General features: G+C 42.1%; 1 protein-coding gene across 2 annotated transcripts in view; it reads left to right on the top strand.

The window, feature by feature from the left end:
• Positions 1-17,852, top strand: part of TRIM4 (tripartite motif containing 4) — a 29,128-nt gene extending 11,276 nt beyond the window's left edge. For both annotated transcript variants that reach the window (NM_033091.3, NM_033017.4), the window contains 3 exons: positions 4,657-4,679; positions 4,940-5,037; positions 15,509-17,852. In NM_033091.3, coding sequence (NP_149082.1) covers positions 4,657-4,679; positions 4,940-5,037; positions 15,509-16,092 — 705 coding nt within the window. In that variant the 3' untranslated portion in view covers positions 16,093-17,852. The remainder of the gene's footprint in view (positions 1-4,656; positions 4,680-4,939; positions 5,038-15,508) is intronic.
• The last annotated feature ends 1,403 nt before the right edge of the window (positions 17,853-19,255 follow it).

The following is a 19,255-nucleotide window of genomic DNA, read 5'->3' as shown; positions in this document are numbered from 1 at the left end:
GCATAAAACTCCCAAGTACATAACTGTTATCAACAATTAAGAGACACTTAACTTTCTCGCTTATTTTTAATCATTACAATCACAGCTTGATAAAACTTTGTTCTTATCCCCATATTTTGAGTGGTACTTTCATTTAAATAATTTCCAATGACTAGCAACCTTTAAAAGATTATAATTCTAACTTAGCACTTAAGTTTGGGTCTTTAGGCCAGTTTGTTATCAAAAGCCCCTCCTTTGAGTTAATCTTTACCTTTATATCCTCTGTAGGTAAAGTGTCCTTATAGCTTCTTTTAGTTTTTGGATAGGGTCCTACATTTGTGACTTTGCTTTTTCTTTTTGCTGAAATAATTCATGTTGAGTATCGGATGCCTCAGAACCTCTCTTTCCTCCATATCACGTGAATGAAGATGAAAAGATCTCTAAAAGGTGTTCTCAAGAACATTTTCTGTCTACCATTACTATTTTTTTTTCATAAGCAAGAGACAACATTCTGTTCTACTCTTAAGGAAGTCAGAAACCTGGACCCACCCAGTAGTTATTATCAATAAGAAATTGCTAGCTAGGTTTTATATGATAGATATAACCTAACAGTTAAAATTAAATGTAATGACTTCCAAGAATTATGTAAAAGTTTTACAACATGCTTAAGCAATGCAGTTGCAAGTACATATCCAAATATGTGTCATAAAAGAATCTCTGAAATAACACATTTAAAATACAGGCTTAACATCTAATTAGAATCTGAAACCTCGAAGATACATGTGAGCCAGCAGAATGTTTACAAAAAATTATATCAGCAAATGGAAATGCAAAGTTAGGGAAACGATTAAAAAAGATGAAACTGGGGCCGGGTGCAGTGGCTCACGCCTGTAATCCCAACACTTTGGGAGGTTGAGGTGGGTGGATCACCTGAGGTCAGGAGTTTGAGACCAGACTGGCCAACATGGTGAAACCCCGTCTCTACTAAAAATTAGCTGGGGATGGTGGCACATACCTGTAATCTCAGCTACTTGGGAGGCTGAGGCAGGAGAATCACTTGAACCCGGGAGACAGAGATTGCAGTGAGCCGAGATTGTGCCACTGCACTCCAGCCTGGGCGACAGAGCAAGACTCCATACCAAAAAACAAAACAAAACAAAACAAACAGATGAAACTAGAACATAGAATCTCAGAGCCTGAGAGAACTACTGTACTTATCTATCTACCTACCCATTTTTAAAATTGATTTCCTTTACTTTTACCCCATGACCCACTTCTAATGTACATCTTCCACATTTTACCTGTTTCTTTTTCCGGTAATGGCTACCTGCGTTGCCTCCAACACCATTACCACTACAAATAATGCTGCAGTGAAACCATTAATATCTGCTCTTTATTGTTTATCTTTATTTTTATTTTATTTAGGTTTTGAGACAGGGTCTTGCTTTGTTACCCAGACTGGAGTGCGGTGGTGTGCTCATAGCTCACTGCACCCTCAAGCTGCTGGGCTCAAGTAATTTTCCTGCCTTGATCTCCCAAAGTGTTCGGGGATTACAGGTGTGAGCCACCGCCCCCAGCTGTTTTTTTTTAAATTGGTCCTTGGGTTTCTTCTCTAGCTCTTTTCTCAACTTCTTGAGTTGGAATGCTTGGCTCCTTTATATTTACCCCTTTGTTTGCTGGTAAATTTAAGTTATACTTTTACCTTTATTGCTCTGTATTCCACAGATTTTGACAAATTGTTATATTTATTGTCATAATAAAATAAACATTAAAACACATTTTAAGGCCAGGTACAGTGGCTCACGTCTGTAATTCCAGCACTTTGGGAAACTGAGATGGGAGGATCTCTTGAGCTCAGGAGTTTGCACTAGCCTGGGCATCTTAGCAAGATCTTGTCTCTATTTAAAAAAAAAAAGTATGACACTCGTGGAGAAAAATGTATAAATCATAAGCTTGACAGATTATCACAAAGTGACCATTCATGTAACTACTATCCAAGTCAAAAAAATAGAACACACATAGCATCCTAGAAGCTTCCTCATGTCCCCAATCAGTACCTCTTCCCTTCTCCTCAAAGGGTAGCCTCCCTCTGGACTTCTCACACTCTAATTTTTTTTTACTTTTTTTTTTTGAGATGGAGTCTTGCTGTGTGGCCGAGGCTGGAGTGCAGTGGAGCGATCTTGGCTCACTGCAACCTCTGCCTCCCGGGTACAAGCTATTCTCTGGGCTCAGCCTCCCAAGTAGCTGGGATTACAGGCGTGTGCCACCACACCTGGCTAATTTTTCTATTTTTGGTAGAGACGGGGTTTTGCCATGTTGGCCAGGCTGGTCTTGAACTCCTGACCTCGAGTGATCCGCCTGCCTTGGCTTCGCAAAGTGCTGGGATTACAGGCGTGAGCCACCACACCCAGCACTCGTTGTGCTTATTTTTGAGTGAGTATCTTTCAGGACGCACTCTTTCGTACTGGCTTCTTTTGCTCACATTACGTTTGTGAGATGAATCCATGCAGTAGGTATTTGTTTTCATTGCTGTACACCAGTGTTTTGAATCAGGGTGATTTTGCTCCCTCCAAGGGCAAAATCTGATATTATATAGAGACATTTTTGGTTGTCACAACTGGAGGGTGGTTACTACCAGCATCTCTTGTGTGTAGGATGCTGCCAACATTCTGTAATGCACAGGACATGCCTGCCTTCAGCTCCCAGCAAAGACTTATCCAGCCCAAAATGTCAGTAGTGCCCGCTGTATAGTACTGTCGTATTCCATTATATTAATATACCAAAGCATATTATTCATTTTTCTTTTGAGGGAAATTTGGATGATTTCTGTTTCTATTATTAAAAACAGGAATATGTGTGAACATATCTTTTTGGGTGCACATTTATATACATTTCTATCAGTTGTATACCTGTGAGAACAATTCCTGGTCATAGGACATACATGTGTGTTCAGCTTTAGTAGATGATTCCAAACCATTTTCAAACTGGTACAAAGTGATTGTTCCAGTTTACACTATTGTTACCAGTGTGTAAAATTAAGAGTTCCAGTTGCTGTGTATCCTCACCAATACTTAGATTTGTCAGTTCTTTAACTTTAGCCACCCTGAAAGGTGCAAAATGTCATCTCCTGCCCTCAGTCAGCACCCCTTCCCTCTTCCTAAAGGTATATGGATATATATATATATGTATGTACACCTTTCCTTGATAAAGCTATTTTTTTTTTTTAATTTTTATTTTTTATTTTTTAGACAGCGTCTCGCTTTGTAACCCAGGCTGGAGTGCAGTGGCACCATCTTGGCTTACTGCAACTTCGCCCCCCAGGTTCAAGCATTTCTCGTTCCTCAGCCTCCCGAGTAGCTGGGATTACAGACACCCGCCATCATGCCTGTCTAATTTTTGTAGTTTTAGTAGAGATGGGGTGTCATCATGTTGGCCAGGCTGGTCTTGAACTCCTGACCTCAAGTGATCCACCCACCTAAGCCTCCCAAAGTGCTGGGATTACAGGCATGAGCCACTGTACTCATCCAGATAAAGCATTTTCCTGATAACTAGTGAGATTGAGCACTTTTCATGTGGTAATTAACCAGTTTTTTTAAAAAAATGAACAATTTAGGTTTACCAAAAAGTTGAGAAGATGGGACAGAGTTCCCACATACCCCTTCACCCAGTTTCCCCTATTGTCAACATCTAGTGTTAATATAGTTCATTTGTTACAATTAATGAACCAGTGATACAGTTTACTAACTAGAGTTTGTAGTTTATTTCCATTTCCTCAGTTTTTACCTAGTATTCATTTTATTTTCTAGAACCACACCCAGGATACCAGATTTCATTTGGTTGTCATTGTCTCTCCTTAGGTGCCTCTTGGCTGTGACATTTTCTGAGACTTTTCTGGTTTTTGATGATCTTGAAAGTTTTGAGGAGTGTTGGTCAGGTATTTTGTAGGATGCTCCCCTATTGGAATTTGTCTGTTTTTTTCTTGATTAGGCTGAGTTACAGGTTTTTGGAGGAGCTGTATTTTTTAAATACACGTTGCCATTGGTTACCTGATATGTTACTTAGAATTTTCACATCTATGTCTTTAAGTAAAATGGGTCTGTAATTTTTTTCTACTGTTTCATTTCATGGCTTAAGGAACAAGGTTATAATAGTCTCTGAAAAATCAGTTGGGAAAATTTATATTTTTCTCTTTTGTGTTATAACTTAGGGTATTTTCAGTTCCATAAAGTTTAGTAAAATTCACCTGTAGAAAATCTCTTTGGACTTGGGCATGATAAAATATCCCTTGCGATTATAATTTAAAAGCAATCTTGTAAAACAACAGGAAGGAGAAGAGTGGAAGCTCAAAGCTGGAGCTGCTGAGGACCCACCAAAAGGCACGCAAAGGAGCAGGCTCTGTGATTGAGACTAGTTGGGGAGGCCGGCAGGAAGCCAGGAGCCAGTTTATGTCATAGTGCCAAAGGAGAAAGAGGAGGGGCGCAGGCAGCATTGTCGAATAAGTGCAGAGGGGCCACGTGAAAGAAAGGACCAGATTCTGTCAATCTGTTGGCTTTGGCAGCAGGAGATCATATGTGACATGAGCAAATGCAACCGTCAGAAAATACCTGCTCACACAGTTGTATTCCAGGTCTCCAGGAGAAGGTTCGTAATTTGCTTATGTCTTCCTTCTTTTCACAGAATCCAAAAGAAGTGTTGACCAGGTATGCACTCCTGTTCTCTTATGGGGACCTGGGTGGCATGGTAAAGATACAGGCTGAGCAGAGGGGAAACAAGGCCTAGGATCCATAGGTCAGTCTGGGCACACCCTAATGGGGGTCTGAGGAAAAATTCTCCTGATTGTTTCTGGGAGGAGGAATGGGAACAGAAGCCATCTGAACTTTGGGCTAAGAACCTTTGACCGGGAGTGGAGGTCTTGGCTACCCTAGTTGTCCCCTAAGAGCAGTCTTCTCTACCTTCTTAGGAGTGAGATCCAGGATGTGAACTATTCTCTTGAAGCTGTAAAGGTGAAGACAGTGTGCCAGATACCATTGATGAAGGAAATGCTAAAGCGATTCCAAGGTGAGCAGAATTTCTAGGACTTGGGGCTCCTTAGAAATCTTTCAAATAGGAGAATAAAGAGAGAAGTCTGGAGAGGAAAGAGGAAACAGCATGCAGCTAATAGAGTGTCAGGAAAGGTGGTTAATAAATGGGTATACACTTCATTCAAGAAACATTTATTTAACGCACTGTTACAAGGTGCTAGTGATACAAAAAGAAGAGACCTGTTCACTTCTTCATGAGTTCGTAAGCACATTGGAGAGACAGACACACAGCACTCACAGTGATATAGTAGGAGCCAGTGTTTGCTGGTGGTAGGAATAAAATGTTACAGAAATTCAGAGGAAGGGCTCTGTTGGGGGCGAGATGGGAAAGTTTTCACAGCAGAGGCGACAGTTTTGAGATTTGAGGGATTAGTAGGAGTTTGGCAGGTGGAAAACAGGGATGACTGTTTCAAGCAGAAGCAGCAGCATGAGCTAAGGTGTGGAGAACATGGAGGGGTGGGTATCCAAAGAGGCTAAAGAACAAGGTGTATTTTGAGGAAAGGTAGAGGTTGAGGTTGAGAAGAAGAGTGTAGGACAGACTGAAAATAAACTCATTGGATCTCCAGGGAGGCACCAAGGCAGGTACATGCTCTAGAAGCTGTGCTGGTGATTCTTATGTGCACATGTTTGATTAAGAACCATGTTGTAGGCCGGGCACGAAGGCTCATGTCTGTAATCCCAGCACTTTGGGAGGTCGAGGCAGGCGGATCATTTGAGGTCAGGAGTTCGAGACCAGCCTGGCCAACATGGTGAAACCCTGTCTCTACTAAAATACAAAAATTAGCTGAGCATAGTGGTGTGCACCTGTAATCCCAGCTACTCGGGAGGCTGAGGCAGGAGAATCGCTTGAACCTGGGAGGTGGAGGTTGCAGTGAGCTGAGATTGTATCCACTGCACTCCAGACTGGGCGATAGAGTGAGACTCTGTCTCAAAAAACAAACAAACTAAAAAGAACCATGTTGTGGGTGTTCACTTCTAGCCAAAATGGAGTAAATAAACGAGTTGTTTTCTTGTCTGCAGCAACTAAAATAAAAACACAAAAACAAAACAGGCACAATATGTGAAACAACCGTTTTCAAAGCACCAGACGTCAGGCAGTGAAGGACGGTGATTCCTGAGAAATGTGAAACAAATGAGGTCAGCCTATGATTGCCCTACCCTCTGCCTGAGGGAGTTTCCAGACCATGTAAGGCTGAGGTAACTGAGGTAGAGCCAGGGAGACTTGCTGAGTTGAGGAATAGACCTGGGAGTTCACGGAGAACAAAGTAGTGAGAGTTCGCAAAGTACTGGGCAGTATCCTGGAGCGGAGAGAGCCGGACACAGAGAGAACCCTCGCCATCTATGGAGGAGCTTCCTAGTTGTTTGGCAGAGTTCTGATCAGCACATGCCTGTGAAAATCTACTCAAGGCTGGAGATAGAAGCTTCTAAAACGATTAGAGGGAACGGTTCCTGGTGCTCACACAGGGCCAGGAACAGTGCCAGTTCCTATCAGCCACACCAGAAAACTCGTAGTTCACGGGCACTGAGTAGCGTACTCAGGAAAATCTTGCCTCATTAGCAGAAAATATTTAGCCCTTGACTGGGTGCTGCTCCACACCCACCTTACAAATCATGAAAGCAAGACCCAAAGGGGTCAAACTCTTTCCAACTAACTTAACTGCATCCCAGGATAAAGCCCTAGAAAATTGGTAGAAATAAACAAAAAAAGAGCACCTAACAATATAAATTCACAATGTCTGGCATCCAGTCAAATATGCATGCAAAAAGATAGGAAAGCAGTGACCCATAATGGAGGAAAATAATCAACTGAAACTGACCTAGAATTGACACAGATGTTAGAATAAGCATGGAAGGACTTTAAAACATTTATTATGAGTGTATTCTGTAAAGAGGTACATAGAGACCAGATCAAAGTTTTAAAGATGAAAAATGTGATTAAGGCGAAGAATGCACTGGATGGGATTAATAGTTGATTAAATATTACAAAAGAAAAAATTGGTGAACTTGAAGACAGAGCAATGGAAACTACAAAAAAATGAAACATACACAGAATAAAACAATTTACAAAAACACAAAGAGCATCAGTGACCTGTGGGACAACTTTATGCAGCCTTATTATCTATGGTGATTGGCGTCCCTGAAAGAGAGGAGTGGGGAGGGAGATGGAATAGGAAAAATACTTGAAGACATAATGGCCAAAGATTTTCTGAATATAATAAAAACTAAGTCCACAGATCCAAGATGCTCAACAAACCCTGAGTATGAGAAATATGAAGAAAAATATGCCAAGGCTCATCATAACTTGCTGGAAACCAGTGTTAAAAAGAAAATCTTAAATGCAACCAGGGGAGAGGATAGTTACTTGCAGTGGAACAAAGACGAAGTTGACATTACACTTCTCATTGGAAACAATGCCAGTAAGCAAACTCTTTAAAGTCCTGAAAGAAAAAAACTGTTAACCTAGAGTTCTAGAACTGGCAAAAAATATCCTTCAAAAACAAAGGTGAAATAAATAAGTTTGGAGGTAAACTAAAGCTTAAAAGAAAGAGTTTACAGCAGACTGACACTTCAAGAAAGGAAGTCTTAAAGGAAGTCCTTCAGACAGAAGGAAAATGCCAGATGGAAATCTCTCTACACAAAGGAATAAAAGAGCACCAGAAATGGTAATGACACGAATAAATATATATTATTGTCATTATTTATTCCTTTAAAAAGGAATTGCGATGGTAAGTTTATACATCAACTTGACTGGGCCACAGAGTGCCCAGATATTGGTCAAAAATTATTTTGGGTGTTTTTTTGAGGGTGATTTTGGATAAGATTAACATTTAAGTCAGTAAGCCTGTGTAGACTGCCCTTCATAATGTGGGTGGGCCTCATCTAATCAGTTGAAGGCTTGAATAGAAAAAAAAGGCTTGACCTTTCTGATGGATTTCTAAAGCATACTACCTTGGCCTTCACTGCAGCATTGGCTCTTCCTGCCTAATGGCCTTCCAACTAGAACGCTGGCTCTATCTGGGTCTTGAGCCTGCCAACTCACACAGCAGATTCGGACTTGTCAGTAGCAATAATCACACAAGCCAGTTCCTTATATTAAATCTTATACACTGGCTGGGTGTGGTGGCTCACATCTGTAATCCCAATTCTTTGGGAGGCTGAGTTAGGAGGATTGCTTGAGGCCAGGAGTTTGAGGCCAGCCTGGGCAACATAGTGAGACCCTGTCTCTACAAAAAATAAAATAATTAGTGTGCTGGTGTGTGCCTGTAGTCCCAGTTACTTGGGAGGCCACGGCGGGAGGATGGCTTAAGCCCAGGAGGTTGAGGCCGCAGTGAGCTGTGATTGCACCACTGCACTCCAGCATGGGCAACAGCGAGACCCCATCTCAAAAGAAAACCCAGAAAACTCACAGGTGCATGCATGCACGTGTGCGCACACACACCCACCCACCATACACAGACACAGACATATATATCCTTTTGGTTCTGTTCCTTTGGAGAACCCTAATAATTGACTATTTCAACAGACAAAATATGGTGTATTTTGGAACTTATATTTAAAAGTAAAATCCATGACAGTAGTGTGAAGATTGGGAGAGGAGAGATGAAAGTATACTATGATACAGTTCTCATGTGTGAAGTGGTATAATATCACTTGAAGGGAGACTGATAAAAAGGTGTATACTTGTGCCAGTCCCCTACTGACTTCATTAAGGATGGCACCGTGTCTGAAAGGCCGAAGAGGAGATCTGGAGTAGTGAATGAGACATGGGGTTTATTGAAGACCTACATGCAGGGCAGTCCAGGAATGGCCAGCTGGACAGGAAAACAAACCACTGCTATTTGTAAAAAGCATGCAGGTTATATATAGCATTTTCATTTAGCAATCTCCACCTGGGACCTTCCATTTAACCCAAAAGAAAGGGCCTCGATTCCCTGTATTGCCTGCATTCCAAGGAATGGACCAGGAGTTCACATGGCCTTTATAGATGAGGAGTGCATTTCTGGGTTGGCCACTCCTGGATTCTTTAGCTCAGAACTCTGAATACACAGTCTTCTTAGACCATAGGGTTATTCTCAGGGTGTGCTGGAGTTACTGCTGTCAGGTGTGTCTGCCGTACACTGCAGTCCAGCATACCCTTGAATGGCCCCCACATTCTTATCACGTCATTCTCTGCAACTTCCCTGAGGCAAGGTATGTGCAGTAGCATTGCTGCCAGATGCTGCAGCAGCGTTAGAAACTACAGCAACAAAAGACAATGACAAGCATAGTAGCAATCATACTCTACAGAAAGCTTTTCCAAGCACTTGATAAGATAGAGAATTTTTACTGAAATATGGGTTTCTAGGGTTCACATAACCCCGGTTATAATGTGAGAGTAATAGGGATATATACACAACATTTGGTTTTAATTAATGTGCAGCTTCCACCCAGGGCAGCAGTTAAGATATCCAGGGCCATGCGATTTTACACAGTTGCCCAGTGAGAAGAGTAATGGCATGGCACAGGTATCCTTGAAGGCTGCAGCCATATGTTTAGCGAGGTCTCCAAATTGCAACTCCAGAATGCACACTTCTGGAAGTGCCTGGCTTTTATACTCTCCCAGTTAGTAAGAATGGTGTCTCAATGGGACAGAATGTGTCCGGCAGGTGAAGACGACCCCAGGTGCATCTACCAGCCCAATTTTAGGGTAAGTAAGGCCAGCTGTGGTTGCCGTCTACCTGTAGCCATCCCCAAGGGGAGGGCATGGGCCCCTACGTGGAGACAGTTACTGTGCCACCCTAGCCACATATTATTGGCTATTTGAAGGGATTGGTTGCATTGCTGTGGGGGTAGCCACCCCACATTAAGAGTTTAGCTTGTGACATGCTATTATCATGCCTTTCAGTACATAAGGGTGCATGACTTACTACCTGTATCTGCACTCTTGTTACTCACCCTTGTCCATCGTGTATGGAATACCCCACAGCTGGGGTAGCACTAACCTGCTCCCATACTAGGTGGAAAATATGTCATCTTGTCTCACTGATGGTGGGAAACGCACTGCATAATGTGGTGGTGGTGCTGAAGGGAAGTGGGTGAGACTTATCATGCCAAATATAGACATGGCTCCAGGTACTCAAGTTAGCAGCATGGATGCCCCATGGCAGGCCCATTGTGGAGGAGAGGGGCAACTCTCTGCAGACCCAATAGTCTGTTGTGTTCTGGAAAGAGGTCACCATGTGCACCCAGTTGGTGAAGCGGTTTGCTGCACCCCATCTGTGGGCAACAGGTGAGATGTTTAGTGGGTACAAGAAAGGGGAAGCCATTTAGTAAGACACAGGAAGTTGTGTCATTCTGAGAGCACCACCCCTGGCAGTGGCCTGGCGCCTGGTTTATAATACAAAGTGGATTGGGCCCTTTGCAATGCTTTGCAAGTGGCCAGAGTAAGACAGTGGGGGGTATTATAATGTTCTATAAGAGGATGATTGTCCCCTTGCACAAGGAAGACTGGGATTCATTATTTTGGAAATACAGGGGGTTGGGGAGTAGGATGTAAAATAGGTGTGACCTGTATATTCTTTTCTAGGCCTTTCCCCCATGGAGTGCAAGAACCGACTTGAGAAATCTTTTGTTCTTTTTTTTAGTTGCTACATAATAATTTTACATATTTATGAGGTACAGTGTGATGTTTCAATACATGTATACAGTGCATAATGATAAAATCAGGGTAATTAGCATATTCATCACCTCAAACATTTATCATTATCTGCATCGGGAACATTCAAAATCCATTTCTACTAAGTGGGAGAGTGTAAAATCCCAGGGAGGGTGGGATCGACTGTCTCCCACTCTGTTTGAACTTACTTCCCAGCTTCACCATTTCCACAGCGGTATAATCCTGCATTGTGGTGGTCTGCCTTCTTTCAGGTGGAGGCAAGTCTTGTAGGGCTACCCTCTGTGGGTGTGGTTGGTCTTCTTTTATCTTGGTAGTGACCATCAGACATGCTGAGAGGATGGGAACCTCTATGGACTCATCCCAGTCCTCATCCTCCCTGCCACTAGATCTCTTCACGGGGTCCCAGGACTTAGGGTTCCAGGACAATTTAGTCATGATAGTCCTAACTCCATGTGGCAGTCAGTGACCCTTCAAACAGGCTATGCAACAAACCAGTGTCTCCATTTTGTCATCCTGTTCCCACAGGTGGGACAGAAATTAGCCTGAGCTAATATCTCCCTAGTTGCAGCTCATCTTGTAAGTGGTACACCCTTGCCTGTGCCACAAGCTCAACCTTGGGGGCTGCTCTAAGCACAGTCAGGACTGGCCGGCCAACTGCAGCTGCCACAGCTTGGGCATTTGACTTTCCCTTAGTTGGATCCACCCCCTGCAGCAGTTCTTCCAGAACTTTTGGCATTTTGGGGGTATCCCCATACTCACCTGGTGGGCCCCACCCATCAAGGATAGTGGCTATTGGGCCCCACATACATGTGGACAACCAGCCCAGGATTTCCACCGTGGATTCTCCCCTGATCCCATTGTCTTGGCACTCGTGGAATTTTCTCCAACCTCCTGCTGGGCTAATTGTTGTGCTAGACCCCTATTGATTTCAGTACGGATGGCACTGTGTCTGAGAGGTGGAAGAAACCTGGAGCCGGTGAATGAGACATAGGATTTATTGAGGACTTATATGCTGGGTGGTCCAGGAGCAGTGGGCTGGACACGAAAACCAGTTGCTACTGTTTGTAAAAAGCATGCAGATTATATAGCATTTTCACTTAGCAACCTGCTCCTAACAACCTCCATTTAACCCGAATCAAAGGGCCTTGATCCTCTGTACAGCCTGCATTCCAAGAATGGGCCAGAGGTTCAGATGTTCAGATGTCCTTCCTAGAAAAGGAGCAGATCTCTGAGTTGGCCACTCCCACATTTCTTAGCTTGGAAGTGTGAACCCACATTCTACTTGGACCATAGGGTCATTGTTAGGGTATGCTTGAGTTATTGCTGTCAGGTGCATCTGCCATACGATACCATAAACCTTAAACCACTAAAATAAAAGAGATGTAGCTAGTCAATAAAAGGAAATAAAGTGGAATTATAAAAAAAGATTAATAAAAAATAAGGCAGAAAAAGAAGAAAACATATAGGACAAATAGAAAACAGCAAAATAATAGACACAAATCTAATCATACTAATAATCACATTAACTATAAATGGTCTGCATGCGCTAATCAAAAGGCAGAAGTTGGTTGGATTGGCTAAAAAAAAAAAATAAGACCCAATTTTTTACTGGAAAAGAAACACATTAAATATGAAGAACCATATACGTTTAAAGCAAAAGAATGGAAAAAGATATGTTAATAGATCTGGAGTGGGTATATTAGTATCAAAGTAGATTTCTGAGCAAAGGATATTACCAGAGATAAAGAATGTTATATCCTAATGATAAAGTGGTCAGTTCGTCAAGAGAATGTAAGTTCTAAACATTTCTGCACTTAACAGTGCTTCAAACATATTAAGCAAAAACTAATAGAGCTGCAAGAAGAAATACACAAATTCACAATTACGTTTGCAGTTTTCAGTACCTTTTAATAATTTTTAGAATAATTAGGCAATAAATCAGCAGGGATATAGTAGACTTGAATAATATTATCAATCAACTTGATCCCATTATTTATAGAACACTCTACCCAACAGCTATATACTACATATTTTTTTCAGTGTACGTGAAACATTTTCCAAGATAGACTAAGCTGGCTGTAAAGCAAGTGTCAAATTCAAAGGATTCCGATCATTCAGAGTATGTTCTCTGATCACAATGGAATTGATAGAAATCAGTATCAAAATATCCTTAGAAACCCCCCTAAATATCAAGAATCTAAATAATAGACTTTTTAGTAACCCTTGAATTAAAGAAGAAATCAAAAGGCAAATTAGGAAGTAGTTTGAATGGAATGAAAAGGAAAAGACAATATACCAGAATTTGTGGGATGCACCTAAAGCAAAACTTAAAGAAAAGTGTATAGTGCTATATTGGAAAGAAGAAACTTCTCAAATCACTGACCTCAGCTTCCACCTTAAGACACTAGAGAAAGAGGAGCAAGTAAAGCCCAAAGTAAACAGAAGAATGGAAATAATAAAAATCAGAGCAGAAATCATTGCAGTGAAATACAGAAAGCCAACAGAAACCAATGAAACCAAAAGCTGGTCCTTTGAGAATTTCAGTAAAATTGACACACCTTTAATCAAAATGATCAGAAAAAAAGAAAACACACATTACTAATGTCAGAAATGAGAAAGGTGACATCATTACAGATTCTGCAGATATTAAAAGGATAATAGAATATTAAGAGCAACTTTTTGCCAATAAACTTGACAATATAGATGAAATGGATGAAGTCCTTAAAAGACACAAATTACAAAAGCTGACTCATGAAGATAGAGATAACTGGAATAATCTTATTTCTATGAAAGAAATTGCTATTAGAAACCTTCCAAATGGCTTTCGTTTTGTTTCTTTTCTTTCTTTTCTTTTCTTTTTTTTTTTGGGGGGGGGATGGAGTCTTGGTCTGTTGCCTAGGCTGGGGCGCAGTGGTGCAATCTCAGCTTACTGCAACCTCCACCTCCCAGGTTCAAGTGATTCTCCTGCCTCAGCCTCCCAAGTAGCTGGGACTGCAGGTGCGCGCCACCATGCCTGGCTAATTTTTGTATTTTTTTTTAGTAGAGATGGGGTTTCACCATGTTGGTCAGGCTGGTCTTGAACTCCTGACCTCGTAATCCACTGCCTTGGCCTCCCAAAGCATTGGGATTACAGGCATGAGCCACCGCGCCTGGTCCCCAGATGATTTTCTTGGTGAAACATTTCACCAAACATTTAAGAAATAAATGCCAATTCTTCAAGAACTCCTATTGAAAATTGATGAAGAGGGAATATTTCCCAATTCTTTCTGTGAGGCCTGTATTACCATGATGCCAAAATCAGACAAAGACGTCACAAGAGAAAAGAATTATACATCAATGTCTCTCATGAACATAGATACCTAAATTCTCAGAAAACTTTAGCAAATTGAATCCAACAATATATTAAAAGGATAATATGTAATAATCACAACCAATTTATATATCCTTTGGTATACAAAAAGGATAATGTATAATAATCACAATATGTGAGATTTATCCCAGAAGAGCATAGTTGGTTTAATATTTGAAAATCGATGTAGTTTATATCACTAAAGTAAAAAAAAAAAAAAAAGGAAAACCATGTGATTGTCTCAGTGGAAGCAGGAAAAGCATTTGTCAAACTCTAGCATACATTCCTGATTTTTTTTAAAAAAAGTCCTCAAACTCAAGAGACATGGAGAGTTAGAGGGAAGGGAATTTGGAGTCAGGGAGGCCAGGGAGGACATTATTAACACATTGAGTGACACTGGAGATTGGAGTAAAGGCAGTGGCAATGGGAGTGGAGGGGAGGAAAAGAACCTGAGTGACAAATTTCAGAGGTAGAATTGGTAGGACTTGGTGACTAACTAGCTATTGAAGGTTAGAGGAAAGAGTCGAAAATAAAGATTTAAAAGCATGAGTGTTCAGGTGGAGGGGACTCTGACACCTTAGAGAACATAGAAGGCAAGATGTCTGCATATGAAGTGGATTAGTCCCGAGAGTATAGAAGGGGGTGTAAGTAAGATAATTAGTTCAGTTTTGAATGATCTGTGGGGAGATTTGTGGAGATGCCCCATAAACAACTGGAACCCGTGAAAAGAGACCTCATTATTCTGTCCTATGTGACACCTGTGTGTATCTAGCCAAAGAACCAGCTAGTCGGCAGCCTTGGTTCTAGTTTTGATTCAACGTGAGAATTTGTTAATATCTCTCCAAATTTTAGGCTGTTTGTGAAAACTTGGGGCATGAAATAATTAGATCCCCAGTTTCTAGAGGTTAGTCTTTTTTTTTTTAAAGATAGAATCTTGCTCTGTCACCCAGGCTGGAGTGCAGTGGCACGATCTCGGGTCACTACAACCTCCGCCTTCTGGGTTTAAGTGATTCTTCTGCCTCAGCCTCCCCAGTAACTGGGATTACAGGTGCCCACCATCATGCCGGGCCAGTTTTTTTGTTTGTTTGTTTTTTGGTATTTTCAGTAGAGACGGGGTTTCGCCATGTTGGCCAGGCTGGTCTCACTCTCGTGACCTCCAGTGATCTCCCTGCCTCAGCCTCCCAAAGTGCTGGGATTACAGGCATGAGTCACTGCGCCTGGTCTAGGGCTTAGTCTTTTAGAGCAGAAGGGAAATGAGGACTTCAGGTTGCTAAAGGCCATGCTGTGGCCTGCTAGGCCTGGCTGAGGATCAGTTGGGCAGCAGTGGAGTCATGAGTGTTTGTTAGGAGGAGAAAGATGAAACTGATGCTGGAAAAGATGGGCATTTCTGGGGAAGGGTTGATGATAAGCTGCTGCACTACTTAGCTCTCATTTTCTCCACAGTGGCTGTAAACCTAGCTGAAGACACAGCTCATCCCAAACTCGTCTTCTCCCAGGAAGGGAGATACGTGAAAAATACAGCATCAGCCAGTTCTTGGCCAGTGTTTTCTTCAGCATGGAACTACTTTGCTGGATGGAGGAATCCTCAGAAGACTGCTTTTGTAGAGAGATTTCAGCACTTACCCTGTGTTCTGGGAAAAAACGTTTTCACCTCAGGGAAACATTACTGGGAAGTTGAGAGTAGAGATAGTCTGGAGGTTGCTGTTGGGGTGTGTCGGGAGGACGTCATGGGAATTACTGATCGTTCAAAAATGTCCCCAGATGTGGGCATCTGGGCGATTTATTGGAGTGCTGCTGGCTATTGGCCCTTGATAGGCTTCCCTGGAACTCCCACCCAGCAAGAGCCAGCTCTCCACCGAGTGGGGGTTTACCTGGATCGTGGGACTGGGAATGTCTCCTTCTACAGCGCTGTGGACGGAGTGCACCTGCACACCTTTTCTTGTTCTTCTGTCTCACGCCTCCGGCCATTTTTTTGGTTGAGTCCATTAGCATCTTTAGTCATTCCACCAGTGACTGATAGGAAATGAGGCTTTTCTTCCCCTGACCAAAACTCCTTCCCTGTAGTCCAGCTGAGGGACACACATCCCTGGGCCCTCTTCTGCCCTTCATGTCTCTATCCTGGATGGTCCATCTTCTGGGTCTCCCTAACGGTACCGTTTGGTATCTGCCCTTTGTGTGCTTCACAAGAGGCAGTCCCATGGGAGGTGGGTCTGGCCAATGGAGATGGGACAGGAAATTTTCCAAGACGCTTTTGGGAAATCTTTTTGTAGCTTTTAAAGAGATGTGCGGGGAAGACATATGGATGTTAGCAGCCATATTGGAACTGAGAACACAGGAATGGTGGAAAGGTAGAAGAAACAGAGTTTTTGTTGCCGTTGTGAAATTGTTGAAATTTCCTTCATGCCAAGCTTCTTGTTATATGAGATAATTACGCCCTTATTGTATAAGACAATTTTAGTTGTATTTGGTTACTTGCAGCCTGAAGTACCGTAACTGCACTAAAGGGACGTAGTGTGAACATCCCGCAGTATAGGCTTAAGTCACTTTTGTGAAATTTGACAAAGGCATAGAATCTTTTTCTATCCAGTCAGGCATTGCCTATTCTTTCCAGTAACTACTGATTCCCCCACTTTTCTGTCTTAGAAAATTGTGGGAATCCCCCCTCACTCTGCCTATGTTGCACTCTCTCTCTTCCCAACCATAACTCTGCCCTCAGCTATTAACTGTGCTGTGTATTTATCAAGTTGGTATGTTGTATGTACAGTGTTATTCATGTCATCATGAGAATGTTGAACGCTTGTTAAATATCTTTTGCTAGCCTCTTCATATGCTGTTGCATATGACTCTCATCACAACTCAGTGAGATGGAAAGTCAAATCCTATTTGTACAAATGAGAAAACTGAACTCTTTAGAGTAACTAGCTCAGTATTGGCCAGCTGGTAAATGGCAGTGTTGGGATTAAAATCCAGTTCTTATCTACTCTCCCTTTATTCAGAAGCATTTATTGGATGTTGATCTTTGTTTCAGGTTTTGATTTTGTTACTTTTTTATACTGTGTATATTTTCCTCAGTCTACCCTTCTGCTCTAGATTGTCTGGACTCAGGAGATTGTGGCAGTTACTGGATAGTTATTTTTAAGATAATGATTGCTTTTCTCTGTTTATATAAGTCATGTGTACTTATTGTAGAAAGTTTGTAAGATGCAAAAAGTATAAAAATTAAAGTTATGCACTACTAACATTTCAATATATTTTCTCCCAGATTTTCAGTAAAGACTTTCAGGCAGTGATTTAACGAGGATTTTATTTTAACTTATATTTTAGTTTAAGGGGAACACGTGCAGGTTTGTTCTATAGATCAATTACATGTCACAGGGGTTTGGTGTACATATTATTTCATTACCCAGGTAATAAGCATAGTACCCAATAGATACTTTTTTGATACCCCACCCTCCTCCACCCTCTACCCTCAAGTAGTCCCTGGTGTCTGTTGTTCCCTTTTTTGTGTCCATGGGTACTCAATGTTTAGCTCTCCCTTATACGTGAGAACATGTGATGTTTGGTTTTCTGTTCATGTGTTGGTTTGCTTAGGGTAATGGCCTCCAGCTCCATCCATGTTGCTGCAAAGACATGATCTCATTCTTTTTTTATGGCTGCATAGTATTCCATGGTGTATATGTACTATGTTTTCTTTATCCAGTCTACTGTTGATGGGCATTTAGGTTGATTCCATGTCTTTGCTATTGTGAATAGTGCTGCAATGAATATATACATGCATATGTCTCTATGGTTGAATGATGTCTTTGGGTATTGGGCATATACCGAATAATGGGATTGCTGGGTTGAATGGTGGTAGTGAGGATTCTTACACAACTTACAGCATCTTCCCTAACTCCTCCTCCCCTCCTCCCCTTCTTATACATCAGCCATCTTGGCTTGTCTTCCTATTCAGCCTGAGCAGCCCCCTCATTCAACAGTTTCTACTGAGTTCTCAACTTCCCAGGATATTTGCTGTTATAGGTTGAATTATGTTCCCCAAAAACATATGTTGAAGAGCTACCTGTGAAAATGACCTTATTTGGAAATAGGATATTTGCAGATGTAAACAAGATAAGGTCATTTGGGTGGGCTCTAACCCAATATGACTGGTGTCCTTATAAAAAGAAGGAAACTTATGCATATGTTCACACACTCATGCCCACACACACACAGAAAAATGCCAGATGGAAACAACGTGAAAGAGGCTCTGGAAGATGGAGGCAGAGATTGGATTGGAGTTATGCTGTCACAAGCCAAGGAACCTGGGGCTACCAGAAGCTGGGGGAAGCCAGGAAGAATCTTCCCCTAGAAGCTTTGAAGGGAGCATGGCCCCATCAACACTTTGGTTTCTGATTTCTAACTGCCAAAACTGAGGTTAGACAGTAAATTTCCATTGTTTTAAGCCACCCAGTTTGTTATGGCCACCTTAGGAAATGATGACTACACTTGCCCTTCAGGACGTCCTTCAGTGCCTGTCTTACTAATAGCTAATCCTTTGGAAACTCATCAGTACCTTCCCTCCTCTCTTCCTTCTGGCTATTGAAAGGTTGATTGATTCTGCTATAAATCCTTGCTCTCTGCCTTCAAGTGGGCCCTTTGAGCTGCATGGTAAACTTTTTTTATCACTTGACTTGTTTTAACGTCTTTGGTGGCAATGATTCCAAACTTTTCCTTTTAAGCCTTCATGAGTCCCCCTTCATACGATTGCAAAGAACTTGCATCTTCAACAGAGAAAAAATTCTTTTCCCCTACCCTTCTTATTCTTCACAATTCTTTGTCTCTGTGCTTGAGTCTTGATATTGACCCCTCTGGTCTCATCAGGTATGGGATGGGACCTAGGTGTTCATTTTTGTTTAAAAAGCCAACCAAGTCCCTCTCCCTCTCCCTGTCCCTCTCCCTCTCCCTCTCCCCACGGTCTCCCTCTCCCCACGTTCTCCCTCTCCCTCTCTTTCCACGGTCTCCCTCTGATGCCGAGCCGAAGCTGGACTGTACTGCTGCCATCTCGGCTCACTGCAACCTCCCTGCCTGATTCTCCTGCCTCAGCCTGCCGAGTGCCTGCGATTGCAGGCGCGCGCCGCCACGCCTGATTGGTTTTCGTATTTTTTTGGTGGAGACGGGGTTTCGCTGTGTTGGCCGGGCTGGTCTCCAGCT

This window comes from Homo sapiens, chromosome 7 (genome assembly GCF_000001405.40).
Source record: "Homo sapiens chromosome 7, GRCh38.p14 Primary Assembly".
In the NCBI taxonomy this organism is placed as follows: Eukaryota; Metazoa; Chordata; class Mammalia; order Primates; family Hominidae; genus Homo; species Homo sapiens.
This window is presented reverse-complemented; position numbering and strand designations above follow the sequence as displayed.